Below are 20066 nucleotides of genomic sequence, written 5' to 3' on the forward strand. Positions count from 1 at the left end.
GTGAGACCCAGGAACTAGGCCTCTCACAGATGCCCCTCTGCTCCAGAAATCACCAACTCCTACTACTTTCCCCAGCTCTATTTTCCACTCCTTTCATTAGGTTACAATAGTAGGAACAGACCTTAGGTCATAACACCACCAAATAAGTGAATGCAGAGTAGAAATGTTCCCCTAAAGAGAGGAGGTCATTTGAACAAACAGCAATACCTGTCAAGTTAATATTTCTGAGTTATAACTCCTGTACCAGAAATGTAACAACATCTCACTCTTGAATCAAAACTTTCAGGCCAGGTGTGGTGACTTGTGCCTGTAATCCCAGCATTTTGGGAGGCCATGGCAGGTGGATCACTTGAGGTCAGGAGTTCGAGACCACCCTGGACAATATGATGAAACCCCATCTGTACTAAAAATACAAAAAATAGCTGGGCATGGTGGCAGGTGCCTGTAATCCCAGCTACTCGGGAGGCTGAGACAGGAGAATCTCTTGAGCCCGAGAGGCAAAGCCTGCAGTGAGACGAGATCACGCCAGTGCACTCCAGCCTGGACAACAGAGCAAGACTCCATCTCAAAAAAATAAAAACTCTCAAATTCATTTATTTATTCAAATATATAATAAGCATCTACTACAGCTGAAGCTTTGCTGCTGTGGTCTGAATGTGGTATACCCCCAAAATGCACATGTTGAAATTTACTCCCCATTGTGATAGTATTAAGAGGTGGGGCCTTCGAGGAAGTAATTAAGTCATGGAGGCTCTGCCCTCATTAATGGGGTTAGAGCTTTTATAAGAAAGAGAGGCTTGTAGTCCCAGCTACACAGAAGGCTGAGGCAGGAGGATAGCTTGAGCCCAGGAGTTCAAGTCCAGAATGGGCAGTACAATGAGACCCCATCTCTTAAAAGAGGGAGAGAGAGAGAGAGACATTGATTGAAGGGTGTGTGTTTGCCCCTTCTGCCATGTGAGGACACAGAAAGAGGCACCATTCATGAAGCAGAGAACGAGCCTTTACCAGACAATGAATCAGCTAGTGCCTTTATCTTGGACTTTCTAGCCTCTATAATTGTGAGAAGTATTAAAATTTCTATTATTTATAAATTACCCCATCGAAGACGTTCACTTACCTGACTTTCCAGATTAATCTCTGTGTTTTATCTTCCCTATAAAAAATATCCACAGCACATTCAACAGCCGTGACCAATAAGACCATAAATTTCTGTCCAACAGATGAATTGCAAGCTTACCTAGAGATGGTAAAGGTTTGTCTCCAAACCTCTTTTTTTTTTTTTTTAATTTTTCATAGAGATGGGATCTTCTTATGTTGCCCAGGCTGGTCTCGAACTACCGAGTTCAAGCAATCCACCCACCTCAGCCTCCCAAAGTGCTGGGATTACAGGTATGAGCCACTGCACTCAGTTCTAAACCTTTTTAATGTCAGTATTATTGTAATTATGTGACTTAAATATATGCAAACCAATGAAATGAATGCCAAAAAATTATTTGATGAAAAGCAATTTGAATTTGCTAGATTTGAATTTAGAAAAAGCTAGATACAACAGCAATCAGGTTTCATTTATTCAAAACGTTATCAAAGTTCAGCAGGAATTCTCTCAGCTCTGAAGAGGGAAAAAGAGAAATTTTAAGAGATGTCTATGTTTTAAAATCTTAAAACTTTGCATTGGGTGCCATGTTGTTGGGTGCCATGTAGCAGTGCTTTTACTCTGTATCTGTAATTCTTAACCATTTTTAAGTTATGGACCCCTTTGAAAATTTAATGAATGTTACAGCTCACTTCTCTCCCTGGAAATACAAATGGAGACATAAAATGCAGTTCTGATGGCTCCTGTACCCTTTTACCCACCTCTGCCTCAAAGCTCATCAACCTATGACTCTACACACCCCAAGCTGCAAAGCATTTCATCACCTTTATACCCATTTAGAAAACTATGCCTTGTATTAGAACAGCAGAACTAAATTCCATAAGGTCTAATTTCAACTTTGCTAAGACCTTATTAATGATATCTCAGACTGGCTAATATAATAACATGCACTGATTTATCAGTGATTTTATTCAACTTAAATAAAAGGATGGCAGGTTTCATTTCTTTTATTGCGTATAATCCTCCCACATGATTAATTGGTTAGGAATTCCTTACTGTCCTTTGCAAAGCCAGGCTATAACCCACAAACAACATGACTAATCAACTAATACATCCTCTAATTCTCAGGGTACAATTTAGGAAAATCAGGCTAGAGTCAGAAAAAGCTCTTGACTTAGAATGGTAGTTGTTCCTTCTCTAAGATGTAGTGTTCTAATAAGTAGTCCACAAAGTAATCTATCCTAATAAGGTTTTCCTTTCCACACATTAGGAATCACACAAAAGCATGGGTGGGTAAGAAATGTCAAATCACTTGTTCAAATATACCCAACACATGGCTTTCCTTTCTAAAATTCCTCCACTCTAAAACCCACCTGATTTACGAGTCATGAAAATTCTAATCTGCCACTATTAACCATTTCCACCTCTAAATGATTTTCCCCAGCTGCCTAAACCAAAAACCTGGCAGTCATTCTAGACTCCTCCTTCTCTTTTATTTCCTACATGCAAGTAATCACCAAGTCCTTCCAGGTGAGCTCCTAATTATTTCTTTTTTTTTTTTTTTTTTTTTTTTTTGAGACAGAGTCTCGCTGTCACGCAGGCTGGAGTGCAATGGCACAATCTCGGATCACCGCAACCTCCGCCTTCTGGGTTCAAGCTATTCTCCTGCCTCAGCCCCTCAAGCAGCTGGGATTACAGGCACCTGTCACCACGCCTGGTTAATTTTTGTAATTTTTTTTTTTTTTTTTGAGTCAGAGTCTCACTCTCTCGCCCAGGCTGGAGTGCAATGATGTGATCTCGGCTCACTGCAACCTCCAACTCCCGGATTCAAGCAATTCTCCTGCCTCAGCCTCCTGAGTAGCTGGGATTACAGGCGCCTGCCACCACACCCGGCTAATTTTTGTATTTTTAGTAGAGACGGGGTTTCACCATGTTGGCTAGGTTGGTCTCTTTGGCCAGGTTGGTCTCCAACTCCTGACCTTGTGATCCATCCACCTTGGCCTCCCAAAGTGCTGGGATTACAGGTGTAAACCACCATGCCTAGCCTAATTTTGTATTTTTAGTAGAGATGGGGTTTCACCATGTTGGCCAAGCTGGTCTCAAATTCCTGACCTCAAGTGTTCCACCCACCACAGCCTCCCAAAGTGCTGGGATTACAGGCGTGAGCCACCGTGCCCCTGATTGTTGCTTAAATCTGTCCCTTCCTTTTAATCACTTTAGGTTCTCCCACGTTAACTGGTTTCCCGAGTTTGGTTCCTGACAAAGATATCCTAGAGTAATCATTCTAAAACAAAAATGTGATCACTTCACTCACCAACTTAAAAAAGCCTTACAATAGCTATGTTTCTCAGCTTAAAAATCCTTCAATGTTCCTCACTTGAGAAAGCTGAAGACACAGAATGCTAGAATACTCTTGGTGATCTGGTGGCACTTATCTACTTCTCCAGCCTCATCTCTCTCTTGCCTAACCCCTACCCTAAATCTCTTGCTCTCTCAGCACACCATGTTGTTTCTTGCCTGTACACAACCTAGTCCCTCTGCTGAAAAAAAAACAACAACAACAACCCTGGCTGAGCATGGTGTCTCATGCCTGTAATCCCAGCACTTTGCGAGGCTGAGGTGAAAGGATTGCTTGAGCCCAGGAGTTCAAGATCCTGTCTCTACAAAAAATTTAAAAATTAGCTGGGCATGGTGGTATGCGCCTGTAGTCCTAGCTACCAGGAAGGCTGAGGCAGGAGGATCGCTTGAGTCCAGGGGTCTGAGGTTGCAGTGAGCTATGATCATGCCACTGTGCTCTGGCCTGAGTGACAGAGCAAGACCACCTGACTTCTTAAAAAAAACTATATATATATAACTTTATATATATATAAATTTAAAAATATATATATTTTATATATTTAATAATTTACATATTATATATAAATTTAAAAAAATGAACCCTACCCCATTTTCTTTCTTTTTTTTTTTTATTTTTTGAGGTGGAGTCACACTCTGTCGCCAGGCTGGAATGCAATGATGCAATCTCGGCTCACTGCAACCTCCACCTCCTGGGTTCAAGCAATTCTCCTGCCTTACCCTCCTGAGTAGCTGGGACTACAGGTGTGTGCCACCACACCCAGCTAATTTTTGTATTTTTAGTAGAGATGGGGTTGCACAATGTTGGCCAGGATGGCCTCAATCTCTTGACCTCGTGATCTGCCCACCTCAGCCTCCCAAAGTGCTGGGATTACAGGCGTGAGCCACCGCGCCCAGCCTCCTACCCCATTTTCTGATCTGCCTGTCAAACTCTGCCCACTCACCTCTAAATAAAGTATTATGATGCCCAACGATGTTCATGACAGCATCATGTTCAATATTCGAAAACTGAAAACAGCTGAGTATGGTAGCACATGCTTATAGTCCCAGCTACTTGAAAGGCTGAGGTGGGAGGATCTCTTGAACCCAGTTGGAGTCCAGCCTGGGCAACAATGCAAGACTCCATCTCAAATGAAACAAAACAAAACAAAAAAAACAACAAAACAATCTATCTAAATCCCCCAAATATGAAAACATTTTGTATAATGGATTGTTAACATTTTGTTATAATGGATTCCCATAATGGAATATTATGCAATCATCAAAATGTTTATAAATTATATAAAATGTTAAAAATATGGCTATAAAACTGTAAAACTGCATAAACAGAATGATCTCCACTATGTAAATTACATTACACAGACACAAAAAAGAAATAATTAACAGAAAATATACCAAAACATTAAGAGTATTTGAATCTGATTAATAGAATTATGGGCAATTGGCCGGGTGCAGTGGCTCACGCCTGTAATCCCAGCACTTTGGGAGGCCGAGGCAGGCAGATCACGAGGTCAGGAGTTGGAGACCAGCCTGACCTACATGGTGAAATCCAATCCCTACTGAAAATACAAAAATTAGCCGGGCGTGGTGGCAAGCACCTGTAATCCAAGCTACTCAGGAGGCTGAGGCAGGAGAATTGCTTGAACCCAGGAGGCGGAGGTTGCAGTGAGCCGAGATTGCACCAATGCACTCCAGCCTGGGCAACGGAGCGAGGCTCCATCTCAAAAAAAAAATAATAATAATTACAGGCAACTGGGGTTTTTTATCTGTGTTTTTTCCCTCTCAAGTTTTAAATAGTTAACAGGTATTACTTTCAAAATCGGAAAAACTCCGAAAATATCTTAAACTATTGAAGACTTTCCTAGAGGCTTCCCAACCACACACAAATTTAATCATTCCTTTGTCTGATTCAAGTACAAACTCTTCTTTGTTGCACACAACACACTCTTGTTTTAGACCTTATCATTCTATATTTTAATACATGTTTGTCAAGGAGTTGTCCTAAAACGGGAAATGTATGGTTCAACTTTAATTCCTATCAGCCTTACACCTGGTAGAAACCAGCTAAACGTTTTAATTACTCACACTGGTAGCTACATGTAAATGACCAATAAATGCCTAATCAGTCATTTGTAAATGTAGATCATAAACACACTCAAAAAATATTTACCATGTGCCCAAAATATCCCTGGTACTATCACAGCCCCTGGAGACACTTCAGTGAAAAGGTCCTTGCCCTTGTGGAGCCTACATTCTACTGTGGAAGAACAAAACAAAATAAACCAGCTCATTACAGAGAGTGATGAATACTGTAAGACAATGTAGCATAAGAGGAATTAGGGAAGATGTGGGGAAAGAACAGAACATCAAAGGCATATTGAGGGAGGGGCAAGAGAGAGGGCTGACCTGGGCAGAGTGGGGGCTCAGGGAGGAGACCTGCAGGAGGGGCCAGGAGCTGGGAGAAGGGGCCTGTGGGGGTGGGGGCCTGGAAGGAGGGGAAGGGATGGAGGGAACAGGGAGGGGGGAGCGAACCCAGATGTCCGCCCCCTCCCCCTTCAGAACTGCAGCGCCTCCTGACTGAGCCCCAATTTTGTCAAAATCTGTATATGGTATATGCACAGAAAGGAAGCATAAATAATACTTTGTTCATCTGAAAAGCAAGGTTGTTGCACAGTATGGGCACTTTGTCCTATTTTTATAAAATGAAAACTAATAGGCCCCTCCTCTAGAGTGCTGTGTGTTTGTGAGATTCCAAAACAAAAGGTCAGGGAGACTGCACTCCCCTCTTGGTTACCTCTGTGGTCTGAGGTAGGGAGAGCGGAGGAGAGTTCTTACTACCAGTTAGGTAATATTCTCTGAGTCTCAAATAGGATAATAATCCCTAATTCACAAGAACGTGTAAGGATTACATAAAATTATTTATGTGGAAAGTATGATGCCAGTGCTGGCATTCTGGTCCCCTATATTTGTGTTAGTAGTATCTATTTAGAGGAGGACATCAAAATAATACAACACCCAAAAGCTGGAGCACATGGATTATGATTTTGAACACAGGTGCCAAAAGAAACTTAACAATGTAAATCCCATCCCTTTGATCAGGGAATTCCTTAATAGCTATATGGGTAACAAAAATACTACCTAATGCCAACCTTCTTAACTGTTTATCTGACCTCAGGATTCTACTACTGGTTACAACATCTTTATTTACTTATTTTATTTTTTTCTTTTTTTTTTTTTGAGACGGAGTCTCCCTGTCGCCCAGGCTGGAGTGCAGTGGCGCGATCTCGGCTCACTGCAGGCTCCGCCCCCCGGGGTTCACGCCATTCTCCTGCCTCAGCCTCCCGAGTAGCTGGGACTACAGGTGCCCGCTACCTCGCCCGGCTAATTTTTTGTATTTTTAGTAGAGACGGGGTTTCACTGTGTTAGCCAGGATGGTCTCGATCTCCTGACCTCGTGATCCACCCGCCTTGGCCTCCCAAAGTGCTGGGATTACAGGCGTGAGCCACCGCGCCCGGCCTATTTTTTTCTTTTTTGAGATGAAATCTCACTCTGTCGCCCAGGCTGGATACAGTGGGGCAATCTTAGCTCACTGCAACCTCCACCTCCCGGATTCAAGCTATTCTCCTGCCTTAGCCTCTGAGTAGCTGGGACTACAGACGTGCACCACCACACCTGGCTAATTTTTTGTATTTTTAGTAGAGACAGGCTCTCACCATGTTTGCCAGCCTGGTCTCAAACTCCTGACCTCAGGTGATCTGCCCATCTTGGCCTCCCAAAGTGCTGAGATTACATGCGTGAGCCACTGCACCCAGCCTATAATTGCTTTAAATAATGATGTGGCAAAGAGTTGAACAGTCTACCCACAAAATCAAATGCAAACACAGAAACAGATTTATAACAAATGATCCAAACATTATCTCTCAGCCTTTCCTCCATAAACTCATAAACTTTACTGGTTTTCACTATTTTTAATTCTCTGCTTATCTAGGTTATATTTCTCTGGTCCAAAAAAGGAAAATAAATTTTCCATTCCAGATTGCAAAAGAGAGGTGCTTCTAGATACATTTACCTCTCGTCTCCTTTAGTTGCTGCTTATCTGAAACCTAAGAACTACGACTCCTGGAGTTTGAGTAGGGGGTTCGATTGTCAGATCACTAAGATGTTTCCTCTGAAATATTCCCTCCCATCCTTAATCAGCCCTCAAAAACCCTACCGCATCTTTAAGGTAGAAAATTATTTGCCTTTTATATCTCTGCTTTCTAATCTCACATGCCTGGAATTAATGACTACCTGAATGGGCATACTATATAACCTGTTCTTTGTCGAATTTATATATATATATACATTTTTTTTTTTTTGAGACAGTGGCTCGCTCTGTTGCCCAGGCTGGAGTGCAGTGGTGCAATCTCGGCTCACTGCAACCTCCACCTCCTGGGTTCAAGCAATTCTCCTGCCTCAGCCTCCTGAGTAGCTGGGATTACAGGTGCATGCCACCATGCCTGGCTAATTTTTGTATTTTTAGTAGAGACGGGGTTTCATCATGTTGGTCAGGCTGGTCTTGAACTCCTGACCTCGTGATCCGCCCACCTTGGCCTCCCAAAGTGCTGGGATTACAGACGTGAGCCACCTCACCCAGCCAATTTTTTAAAAAATATTTTAATTTTTTTAGAGACAGGGTCTCACTCTGTCACCTAGGCTGGAATGCAGTGGCACAATCATGGCTCACTATAACCTCAAACTCCTGGGCTCAAGCAATCCTCCTGCCTCAGCCTCCTGAGTAGCTAGAACTACAAGCATATGACATCAGGCCCAGCTAATTTTAAAAAATTTTTAATTTTTTTATAGAGACAGGGTCTCACTATGTTGCCCAAGCTGGTTTCGAACACCTGGGCTCAAGCAGTCCTCCCACCTTGGCCCCGCAAAGTGCTACAAATACAGTCTTCAGCAGCCACACCCAGCCTTCTCCTTAATATTTCTAAGTGTTATTGTCAAAATTATCCTGACTCTCATTCTAGTCAGTTCTATTGTTAATAACTCGACATGACAAGTCAGAAACAAACCAAATCACCATTAACAAGATAAATTAACTCCAAAAGAATGAGTTGATCAATGATGAAGCGATAAAGAAAAATCTAACTCTTAAGATATAAGCTAGTGTTCCCATTTATTGGCTGTCATAAACCTTTTATGTCAAAGCAAGAACTCTGCTTACTTCTTGGCATACCAAATCTACACATATGAAGTCACAGGCCAGAACTATGGGGTGTCCATAAAGTCTGGGAAACATATATTTTATATTTTTACAAATTGAAGATGTCCTTTATAATATTATGTACATACACCTGTGTTTCCATATTCTACAGATATCTTGTATAGAAATACTAGAACGGGCCAGGCGCAGTGGCTTACGCCTATAATCCCAACACTTTGGGAGGCCAAGGCAGGGAGATCACCTGAGGTCGAGAGGTCGGGACCAGCCTGACCAACATGGAGAAACCCCATCTCTACTAAAATAACACAAAATTAGCAGGGCATGGTGGCGCATGCCTATAATCCCAGCTACTTGGGAGGCTGAGGCAGGAGAATTGCTTGAACCCAGGAGGCGGAGGTTGCGGTGAGCCGAGATCGCACCATTGCACTCCAGCCTAGGCAACGAGAGCGAAACTCCGTCTAAAAAAAAAAAAAGAAATACTAGAATGGAGAATCCGTCACAAAAATGTTAAATATACCACATGTAAAGATAAAGGACAAAATTATAACTTGGTTTAAATGTTCATTCATTCATTTAATGAATACCTACTAAGTGTCAGGCACTTCCAGGCACTGATTTATTTCATGGCATTGACCATTTAATTAGTTGCACTGAGTTACTGCAGACAGGGAGTTACTTGTTTTTGATCTTGACCTTGAAATGAGTTTGAATGCTTGAGGAATAAAGCTATTTGGCCACACAATAGTCCTATGCATACATAATCAGTACACAATGTTTCCTTCCCTTTGTGTGTATTAATTCTATGATCACTTCAAATAATATAAAGGCTGTTTTGTGCCCATTTCTGTTTCTCTCCTCTGAGGCCTGCCAACAAGCATTTATATAATAATATTTATTATTTCTGAGAATTATATAATAGTGCTTCTTAGGAGAGAAAAGTAGGCTTTATTCCAAGATGCTAAGTTACTGTAGTACTTTAATTCACTAGTACTTTCCTATTTCAAGTTCACAAAATGCAAATATTGGAATGGTTTCACATTAAGAAGTTTAAATGCCCAGCACCACAAAGAACACTAAAGGGTGTGAAAACTAAATGTAGCAGAACTGAAGTATAATAGGTGAAATGCAGCATTTGAACCCTCACAGGAGCAGCTACCCACAAGGTATAAGGACCAGCTGTAGAAAATTCCTTGTGAAGCTGGTTTCTACTGCAAGTACAGCAACCTTCCCAGGAAAGCCTCCTATAAGTTATGGCTATATTACCTCAACTCTCAAGATCAAAACTTGAGGCTCCATCCTGAATTCTAACTCTGACAACCACACTGGCCCCTAAAGAGGGTCAGGCATGGCCTACAGGGAAATGGTGGTAAGGAGATTCAAATTAGACCTTTGATATCTCCAGAACCAACAAAATCAACCCAACCCTTATAGCAGTCAGAAAATTAAGAGTTTAAGCATTTCTCCCATCACCAATTAAAATGTTCATGGATCCAGGAAAACCCTTACACTTACATTGGTGAGTCAGCCATAAGCACAAGCAGATAGTCACACATCTCCACCATTAGTGTGACATGTCTATATATACTCCCTAGTCTTCGGACCACCATGACTAGCTTTCTAGAATAGGCAGTCACCCTAATATACAAAGTGCCTTTTGATGTTCTTCCATGCCTCCTTCTAGCCCCCTCCACTACATGCCATCAGCTAGTGTTTAACTTTGGACTACTGAATATCAACAATATTTCCTCTTTTAAACTCTAATTCTGACTACAATTACAGAAGTTAGGCAAACATCCAAAAGCCACAACAGTATTCCTCTAACAGTATATAATTTTCAGAACACTTTGTACACATTCTCTCACAAACCAAACCCTGAAGCTAGGCTCCCTCTCCCCTCCCACCTCCTCCTTTTCCCTTCTGTCCACTCTCTCTCTCCCACTCCATCCCTCCATTTTCGCAGACTGAGAAAAAGAATCACTGGATAAGTGACTTGACCTCATCACTAGTGACAGAGCCAAGGCTTTAACCAATGTCTTCCTTATTCCAAGTTTCATAGGTTGTCCACTACTGTATGCTCCCCTCCATCTAATTCTCTTTCCTCAGTAAAACCCACACAGCTTAATCAACTTTTCTTTTCTTTTCTTTTCTTTTTAAGACAGAGTCTTGCTCTGTCACCCAGGCTGGAGTGCAATGGCGCGATCTCGGCTCACTGCAACCTCCGCCTCCCGGGTTCAAGTGATTCTCCTGCCTCAGCCTCCCAAGTAGCTGCAATTACAAGAGCCCGCCACCACGCCCAGCAAATTTTTGTATTTTTAGTAGAGACAGGGTTTCACCAGGTTGGCCAGGCTGGTCTCGAACTCCTGACCTCAGGTGATCCATCTGCCTCAGCCTCCCAAAGTGCTGGAATTATAGGTGTGAGCCACCACTCCCAGCCTCAAACTTTTCATATTGCAGTAAACAAAGCATAATTTTTTTTTTTTTTTTGAGAGGGAGTTTCACTCTTGTCATCCAGGCTGGAGGGCAATAGCATGATCTCAGCTCACTGCAACCTCCAGCTCCCAGGCTCAAGCAATTTTCCTGCCTCAACCTCCCGAGTAGCTGGGATTACAGGCACCCACCACCACACCCAGCTAATATTTGTAGTTTTTTAGTAGAGACAGGGTTTCACCATGTTGGCCAGGTTGGTCTCGAACTCCTGACCTCAGGTGATACACCCACCTCGGCCTCCCAAAGTGCTGGGATTACAGGCGTGAGCCACCGTGCCTGAGCAACAAAGCATAATCTTTTGATACCTGCAGATCAAAACACTATAAAAAATCAACTTAGCAATGAAAACCAGTTCCAACTGGATGGCATTACACCTTATACAGCCCTTGAAATACATCAAATTGGGCCAGACATGGTGGCTCACACCTGTAATCCCAGCACTTTGGAAGGCTGAGGCAGGTGGATCACAAGGTCAGGAGTTCAGGACCAGCCTGGCCAACATAGTGAAACCCCGTCTCTACCAAAAATACAAAAAATTAGCCGGGCATGGTGGCAGGCGCCTGTAATCCCAGCTACTCGGGAAGCTGAGGCAGGAGAATCACTTGAACCCGGGAGGCAGAGGTTGCAGTGAGCAGAGACCGTGCCACTGCATTCCAGCCTGGGTGACAGTGGGAAACTCCATCTCAAAAAAAAAAAAAAAATACATCAAATTGGCTAACCAATAGAGAAAGCTATGTAAGTAGAAATTTGTTTCTTTGTCAGAGGATATCTAAATTACATTTCTAAGAGGGTTCTTTTGTACTAACTCACGACAAGGTCATAAAGAGTTTAAACAAGGCTAACCACTTTTCAACATGCAATTTTGAAGTATATAGTTTTATATTAACGTTTCTAGTAGCACAAAAACCTAATATTTCCTAACCAATCCCTCTTTTAAATAGAAAATAGATAATGTGGTTTTGCTGGCATTCATATCAACCATGTCATAACAGGTTCTGAAACAGTTTGTGGGGATGAGTAGACCTTAAAGTGGTTTTGCATTGAAATAGTAGTTAAGAAACCAACTAGAGAAGAGTCTTAAATCTAGGTCATACTATCCTTATTCAAAAGCAAGCACAAACAAGACAATTTATATTACCTCCTGAAAAGATGGTCTTAAAAAAAAGAAAGTGGGGGCCAGATGCGGTGGCTCACACCTCTAATCTCAGCACTTTGGGAGGCCCAGGCTGGCAGAGAACTCGAGGTCAGGAGTTCAAAACTAGCCTAGCCAACATGGTGAAACCCCGTCACCCTGTCTCTACTAAAAATACAAAAACTAGTGGGGCATGGTGGTGCACACCTGTAATCCCAGCTACCAGGGAGGTTGAGGAATGAGAATTGCTTGAACAGGGAAGGCAGATGTTGCAGTGAGCCAAGATCATGCCACTGCACTCCAGCTTGGGCGACAGATTCTGTCTTTAAAAAAAAAAAAAAAAAGGAAATGGACAGAACACAAACTACTTGGAAAAAAAAAAGGAAAAGGAACACAAACTACTTGAAAAATATTGGTATTTCCTAAAAATTTATTATGAGTAGGCATATTTGTTTTTAATATCATTTGTATTCCCATGAATTCATGTAAGAAACTTCTTCCTCAGTTATTGATAACCCACCAGCAAAATTAATACTAAGTTATAATTACCTAGACATGTCATAAAATATAAAACTCCTTGCAATCACCTTTAACTTGGGAATAGAAGGAAAAGGAGAGGGATACGCAGGGTGCGGTGGCTCATGCCGGTAATCCCAGCACTTTGGGAGGCAGATGCGGGCAGATCCAAAGTCAGGAGTTCAGGACCAGCCTGGCCAACATAGTGAAACCCCGTCTCTATTAAAAATACAAAAATCAGCCAGGCATGGTGGCACGTGCCTGTAGTCCCAGCTACTTGGGAGGCTGAGGCAGGAGAATCGCTTGAACCCAGAGATGGAGGTTGCAGTAAGCCGAGATCATACCACTGTACTCCAGCTTGGGGAACAGAGTGAGACTTTGTCTCAAAAAAAAAAAAAAAAAAAGGAGAAGGATAAAGGCAGAGATACAGACAGAAAGTATGGAATAATTTGATTTTTTTTTCCAAATTAAATTTGAATCCAGGCAATCTGCTGCTAAAGCCTGCTTCTGTGACAAATTATCAACCAGAACCTGGGTAAGTCACTTCCTATTTTGGGACTTTGATTTCATAATATTAAAAAATATGTAAAGTAAAATATGTAAAGTAAAAAACAGAAAAAATTATAACCGATGAATCTTCATGGTGGCATACTTACAGTCACTGTATTTTTTTCTTTCTGCATTTCTACAAATACAAAATTTTTTAAAAACACAGCTTCCAGGGTATCTCATAGGGTCAAGTACAGATTCAGTCCAGCTTCTTACATCTACACTGCACTATTAAGCGATGTCCTAGAGACAGAATAGTCAAGGGAGTAGGAGCCATGGGCTCTGGAGGCAACTTTGCCAATTACTGGCTGTGATCTTAAGCAAACAGTGTAAATGCACTGAACCTCAATTTATTTGTCAATATAACAAGGATAATAGGCCGGGCACAGTGGCTCATGCCTGTAATCCCAGCACTTTGGGAGGGCGAGGTGGCAGATCACGAGGTCAAGAGTTCAAGACCAGCCTGACCAATATGGTAAACCCCGTCTCTACTAAAAATATAAAAATTAGCTGGGCATGGTAGCACGCACCTGTAATCCCAGCTACTCACGAGGCTGAGGCAGGAGAATCTCTTGAACCGGGGAGGCAGAGTTTGCAGTGAGCCGAGATCACGCCACTGCATTCCAATCTGGGCGACAGAGCACGACTCCATCCCCCGAAAAAACAAAAACAAAACAAAAAAATAAGCAAGAATGACAATAGTCCTCCTATGTCAAAGGAGTTCCTATCTCAAAGGAGTTCCAGTGAGAAACTATATGTAAAGTGCTTGGCACAGGGCCTGGCCCATAGGTAAATGCTGGATCCTCACATTACTACAATGGTCAAAGGCTCTGATCATGAAGGTACCATCAGACAGGAAAAAAGAACAAATGGCATTACACTGAAGTTTGGGGATATTTAGAATGCACTGTATGAAAAATCGGCAATTCACTTTGGTAGGCCAAGGCAGGCAGATCACTTGAGGTCAGGAGTTCAAGACCAGCCTGACTAATAGGGCGAAATTCCATCTCTACTAAAAATACAAAAATTAGCCAGGTGTGGTGGCGGGCACCTGTAATTCCAGCTACTTGGGAAGCTGAGGCAGGAGAATCACTTGAACCCGGGAGGTGGAGGCTGCAGTGAGCCAACATAACACACTGCACTCCAGCCTGGGTGACAGGGTGAGACATTGTCTCAAAAAAAAAAAAATCAGTAATCCGTATTATGACAAGATCATGCAAAGCCTATGGTCACCATTACAGTAAGAATAATCATAACCCTACGTTTATGGGATACTTTACTATGGGCCAGGCACTGTGCTACGCACTTTATATTTAGTTTCACATTTTAACTCATACAAGGCCAAAAACTAATATTATTCCCATTTTACAGGTGAAGAAATTGAGAACCAGCACGTTTATATAATTTGTTTATGATTACAAAGCCAATAACTTGCAAAGTGGAGACTTAAATCCAGGCAATCTGCTGTCAAAGCTTGCTTATGACAGAAATTATCAACCTGAACCTGGGTACGTCACCTCACATGTTGGGACTTTGATTTTATCCTCTGTAAAATGAGCATAGTAGTCTAGAATAGGTGCTCTCAAAAGTCCCTCCTAAACTTTTCTTGACAGCAATGCTATTTAAACCCAAATTTACAACATAAAGAAAATAGCTCTAGTCCTTTTATTAAATTGATGCATAAGTAATTTGTGGGTTTTGCCATTACTTTTTTGCCATAATGGTAAAACCCACAATTACTTATGCACCAAACTAATACATATCTAGGCTTCCTTGACTTGTAGAAATATAGAAAGATTCACATATATAATTCCCCCCAGTGGAGTGCCTCTCTGTTCTTGAGCTCTGTTGCTGAGAGGTACATCACCAAGATGCATTAGCCTAATAGAAAACTTCACTAAGTCCCTCTGAATGGAGTCCAAAGAGAATCTTACTTAAAATGAATTCTACCTGACAGCACCTGCACTACATGGACGTTAAGGACACATACAACAAAATTAGCTAGAACTGTAGGACCTGAGTTCAGTCACTCTACCTCTCAGGATCTCAGTCTCCCTATTTATAGAAATGAAGTGACTTTTAGATAAAAGTAATCCCTAAGAAAGCAGCCACCAAAACCCAGAGAAACCAATAAACTTTATTAGAATAAAGAAGTATTATAGTTTGTAAAACAACATTCAAATACAGTGATTGCTAGGCCGGGCATGGTGGCTCATGCCTGTAATCCCAGCACTTTGGGAGGCCGAGGCAGGTGGATCACCTGAGGTCAGGAGTTCAAGACCAGCCTGGTCAATATGGTGAAACCCTGCTTCTACTAAAAATATAAAAAATTAGCCGGGCGTGGTGGCGGACGCCTGTAATCCCAGCTACTCGGGAGGCTGAGGCAGGAGAATTGCTTGAAACCGGGAGGCAGAGGTTGCAGTGAGCCGAGATCATGCCACTGCACTCCACCCTGAGCAACAAAAGTGAAACATTGTCACACACACACACACACACATAAAATACAGTGATTGCTTTTGCAATATAAGCCATGTAAGTAAAGCTACTCAAAATCTATTGTGTTGGCAGAAACTGGCAAAAAAGAAGCAGTGCAGGGTAGAATGGGTTTCTTTAAAAATTTTAACATACATTAGAGTAGATCACTGCAGAAAGACTCTTTTATTAATAGCTCAAAAATCTGTTAAATAAAAAATAAAGTTGCTATTCTATAAAATAAACTCTGATTTAAATAAAATCACATTTGCCAGAATAAATATTTTGAAAAAATCATCGAAACCACTTAAGATATTTTCTTCCTTTTTTAGAAAAATTATTTCAATAAATGCACATACACAAAATTCTGCACACAAGACTCAGGTGTTCTTTGTTTCTAACACAAACTTGGTACGGTTATCAACAGAAATCAAGTCTAATATCCCAGCCAAAGCACAACCAACTTCCTCCTCTGATCCTAAAATTGCTCCAAAACCCTAAGCTCTGTTTTATGAAAAAGAAATGAGACATAATGTATATGTAATTCTTCCCAAGGCCAAATAAATAATGCTCAATTTTCAATCAAATCTGTCCTCCTACAAATCTTTTGGCCATTTTTGCCTATCCAATAGCATCACCAGGGATGGAAAGATGAGACTATACTGAATCCAGTCCATTTGGCTCTTATTAGCATCATTGGTGAATGGTTTGCTGTGTAACAACTGGCAATCCCTATACTCCTCGTCAATATCAGGTTTGACGAAACTATGTGGATTTAATCTCTCCCTAATCCCCATGCCAGGAGATAATTCACCAATAGCTAGTTGTATTCAGAGTCAACTCCCAGAAAAAGATAACAAGATCTGTCTATATTATCAGCTCCCAAAACTCCCTATAAGATTTTAGGTTATCCTCTAAGACTGAACTCAGGTACGGAGCATGAGAATAAAGAGAGGGAATGTTAGAAAAAGAGGGCCTTTCCTACCAAATGCAGCCTCCCTGCTCTACCCCCTCCAAAAATAAGCACATAAATTCCAGAAAGCAAATTCCTCCTTTTCTCTATGAAATGAATCCCACCTTGCAACATCTCATTTTATTAAAATAAACAAACTTTAGAATGGGAAAAAAATATAACTTAATATTGAAATCGTCCATTCCTGAAGGATCCTTGTGAAAATTCCTTGTGAAGATCCTCTGTCATCAAAGTTAAAAATCATTACTCTAGCCTAGAGAGTCATGTCCTTCTCAATAACCTCATCTCTTCCTTCATGAATGGGAGCCACTCCAAACATCTGTAATGTAAAGAGATGAAGACTGCATCTGCACCTGACACTATACCTCTCTCAAACTGTCAGCTCTACCAAGCACTCCTCAAAGGATTTCTGCTTCATTTCCTTGACCATCCAAATTGGGTCTTGTTGGAGGCCTTCCCCTCTCCCCTTTTTCTTTAACTGAGCCTAGAAGCTTACAGCCAAATCAACTTCTAAGTGAAGGATAAGTGTTTGCCTGGGAGCAAAAGCCGCCTGTGAACACACACCCGCACTACGCCTTTCCAACCCAAGATGCCCAGGACACTGCCAATTGCTATGGCTGTGGACTAGATCAGAAAGCAAGAACAGAAATAAGGACACTCTTCATTTCAACCTTTTTGTCTGGGGCACATCCTGAGTTTTTCATTGGCATTTAACACCAAGACACAGGACTCATTTTTCATTAAAGTTGCAAGACTTTCACTTTGCCCAGTTTCAAATGATGTAATTGATCTGTATTTTCTTAACCCAACTGATGAAGGACACTGCAGCTTTAAATATTTCAGTGCTAGCTAGCAAATAGACTCCATTGCAATATGGCTCTGAAGGTCACGTCCTATTGTCTCTTACCTCCGAAAAAAAAAAAAAAAATCCTTCTTCTAGGTAACATGGAGAGGGTTGCCCTTAGAATTTCCACTCTTCCACCTCCTTCCCTTACACAGTAGTGAGTGTTTATTAGGATCTCACACTCATAATTTTCCCAGCAGGGGCAATATGCTGATTGTTATTAATGATTCTAGCACCTTAGCGAGACATAAACACATGTGTTCACATTAGTTTAACTGAGCATACGCAACCGTCTGAAATAGCACCACTCAAGGGTTGTTAACCTCTTTAAGAGTAAAGTCAGGGTGGTTTGGGTGTGGACCGCTTGCAGGCGGCACCCTGAGCTCAGGATTGCATAACCTGAAATGTGTAGCTACTCAAAATGATAGGAATCTCAGCCTACTCATCCTGGGACTATGCCGGCACCTTGCCACACACTTGCAGCTTTACTTGTCAAAGGAAGTCAAAATAAGAGGTACAAACACCATGAAGGAGAAAATAAACTAAAAGAAAAAGGCTTCTTCTACCCTGAAGGGACGAATACGATTCCTCCAGTAATCACAATGTTCTCCCAACCTCATCCTCTGATAATGGAACAGCCCTAAAGAACTGGAGGCTTCGGAAGGGGAAAGAGGAGCTGGACATTGCTGCCCTTTTTAAATATAAGCGGGTGGATGATTAAAAGTCAGAGAAGTGGCAAAAGGAGCGGGGCAGAGGGAAGGAGTGTGTAGGTGCAGCAGAGTATTACCTGAAATGGCAACAGATTGTTACCATTATCGGTCCGGAAAGCGTTATCCTCCATCCAGGACTTGGAAGTGAGAGGGGCCGCGCGAGGGAACTTGGGCGGCGCGATCACGTTGCTGGAGAAGGGCTTTTTGAGCGGCGAGATGGGGTTGAGCGGGGAAGGCACCCCGACACCCACACCCACGCCCACACCGACCGCCCGGCGAGGGTCCCGGCCCGCCTGCAGGCCGCCCCAGGGGTTGGACGGTGCGCTCCAGGCTGCATTCACGCTTTGGTGCGTGTTCCAGCTGGACGAGGCCGACGAGGCGGCGGCTGCGGCAGCAGCGGCTGCAACCGCCGAAGACGAGGACGGCTTGCTGGTCATGATGGGCTGGTGGCCGTACGCCGCGGCGGCGCTCCTCTGCGCGTAGGGCGCCTGGCTGGGGCTGGCGGGTGAGCGGCGCTGCTGCGGGGGCTGCGCCTGTGGTGGCTGCGCTGGCTGTGCCGGCTGCGGCGCGGGCGCAGGCGGCGGCGGCTGCTGGTGGTGCTGGGTCTGCGCCAGGCCGATCTGCGGGGAGAAAGTGCCTCCGAAGACTGGGTTGACATGGTGCGGGAAGTTCTGGAAGAGCATGGTCCCGTTGACTGGGGTGATCCCCTGGAAGAAGCTGTCCTCTACCGCGTTGGTGGTGCCCGTGGACCAGGTGCTGCCGAAGGACGGCGACAGCGACGCGCCCGGTGCCGCGGGCTCCTGAGGCGGCGGCGGCTGCTGAGGAGGCTGATGGAAACTCAAGCCTGGCAGGAGCGGTGATTCCATCTGCATCTTGTCCGGGCCGTTGGGGGCCGGGGGGGCAGCGGCTGGGCTGAGGGCCGGCACTGCGCTGTTTTCCTCCGGCTTGGGGGTCTCTGAGGAGAGGGGCGTGGACGGGGCTTCGGATACGCTGGACTCAGGTTGGGGCTGCTGCTGCTGCCGCTGCTGCTGCTGGGGCTGGGGCTGGGTTTTGCTTTTGTCCATCAGTAAATCATCCTGCATGGTTTGCGCAGCTGAAACGGGAAAAAAGAGAGACGCGTTATTGTCAATGTGATCATGAATGTCCCTCGCTGAAGCGGGCGGGTGTTTCACTTGCGAAAATCCATCGCCACCGCTACTAGCCAATTGCAATGCAAATCCATAATCTCCCATTTAGAAGAACAGGTCAGGCTGTTGGGTGGGGAATAGGGAAGGTGTCGAGCAAGGTCTCTAAAAATACTGTGAGAGCGTCTTCAACCTTTCAGATGTCTTGGTTCCTTTTCTGTATTAGTGAGAGATGTGCTTATAAGACAGAAAAGACAGCAATTTCGCCACGTCTCTTTTCCCTTCACCGGAACTCAGAGCGTTCGCCCTGCAATGAGAAACTGATTCTGGTTCCTGTTTTTTCCCAAGCACCACCCTCCCCCACTTATTTGCATACGTCAATAAATACTGCTGCGTCCTTCAGCAAGGTTAAAAAGACACCGCACACACGACCCTTTCTTCTCCCTTCCCCAGCTCGAACACTTTTTAAAAAAACAAAACAAAAAAACCAGTATTAGCCCTCTTGATTAGCAAACTGCCTTCTTGCGTTGGTAATTGTTTCATTTAGCTGCAGCGAACCACGAGGGAGGAATCCTTGGCATTTGTTAGAAGGACTCAGC

At 43.2% G+C, this 20066-nt stretch overlaps 1 protein-coding gene across 25 annotated transcripts in view, besides 3 other annotated features; it reads right to left on the bottom strand.

Annotated features, from left to right (window-relative positions):
* CPEB3 (cytoplasmic polyadenylation element binding protein 3) overlaps positions 1 to 20066 on the bottom strand; it is a 244542-nt gene that overhangs the window by 174234 nt on the left and 50242 nt on the right. For 20 of the 25 annotated variants that reach the window (XM_047424810.1, XM_024447895.2, XM_011539517.3 and 17 more), the window contains one exon: positions 18421 to 19436. In XM_047424810.1, the coding sequence (XP_047280766.1) occupies positions 18421 to 19425 (1005 nt within the window). In that variant the 5' untranslated portion in view covers positions 19426 to 19436. Of the gene's footprint in view, positions 1 to 18420; positions 19437 to 19660; positions 19782 to 20066 lie in introns of those variants that run through there. The other 5 variants (XM_047424813.1, XM_047424818.1, XM_047424808.1 and 2 more) reach the window with 1 other exon arrangement.
* Positions 18763 to 18902: a silencer, noted in NCBI's record as "silent region_2612". NCBI's record gives its function as "represses an Ori minimal core promoter by ATAC-STARR-seq in GM12878 lymphoblastoid cells {active_cell/tissue: GM12878}" and the evidence as "EXISTENCE:reporter gene assay evidence [ECO:0000049][PMID:35858748]".
* Positions 19663 to 19712: a silencer, noted in NCBI's record as "silent region_2613". NCBI's record gives its function as "represses an Ori minimal core promoter by ATAC-STARR-seq in GM12878 lymphoblastoid cells {active_cell/tissue: GM12878}" and the evidence as "EXISTENCE:reporter gene assay evidence [ECO:0000049][PMID:35858748]".
* Positions 19723 to 19892: a silencer, noted in NCBI's record as "silent region_2614". NCBI's record gives its function as "represses an Ori minimal core promoter by ATAC-STARR-seq in GM12878 lymphoblastoid cells {active_cell/tissue: GM12878}" and the evidence as "EXISTENCE:reporter gene assay evidence [ECO:0000049][PMID:35858748]".

This window comes from Homo sapiens, chromosome 10, assembly GCF_000001405.40.
Source record: "Homo sapiens chromosome 10, GRCh38.p14 Primary Assembly".
NCBI classification, from domain to species: domain Eukaryota; kingdom Metazoa; phylum Chordata; class Mammalia; order Primates; family Hominidae; genus Homo; species Homo sapiens.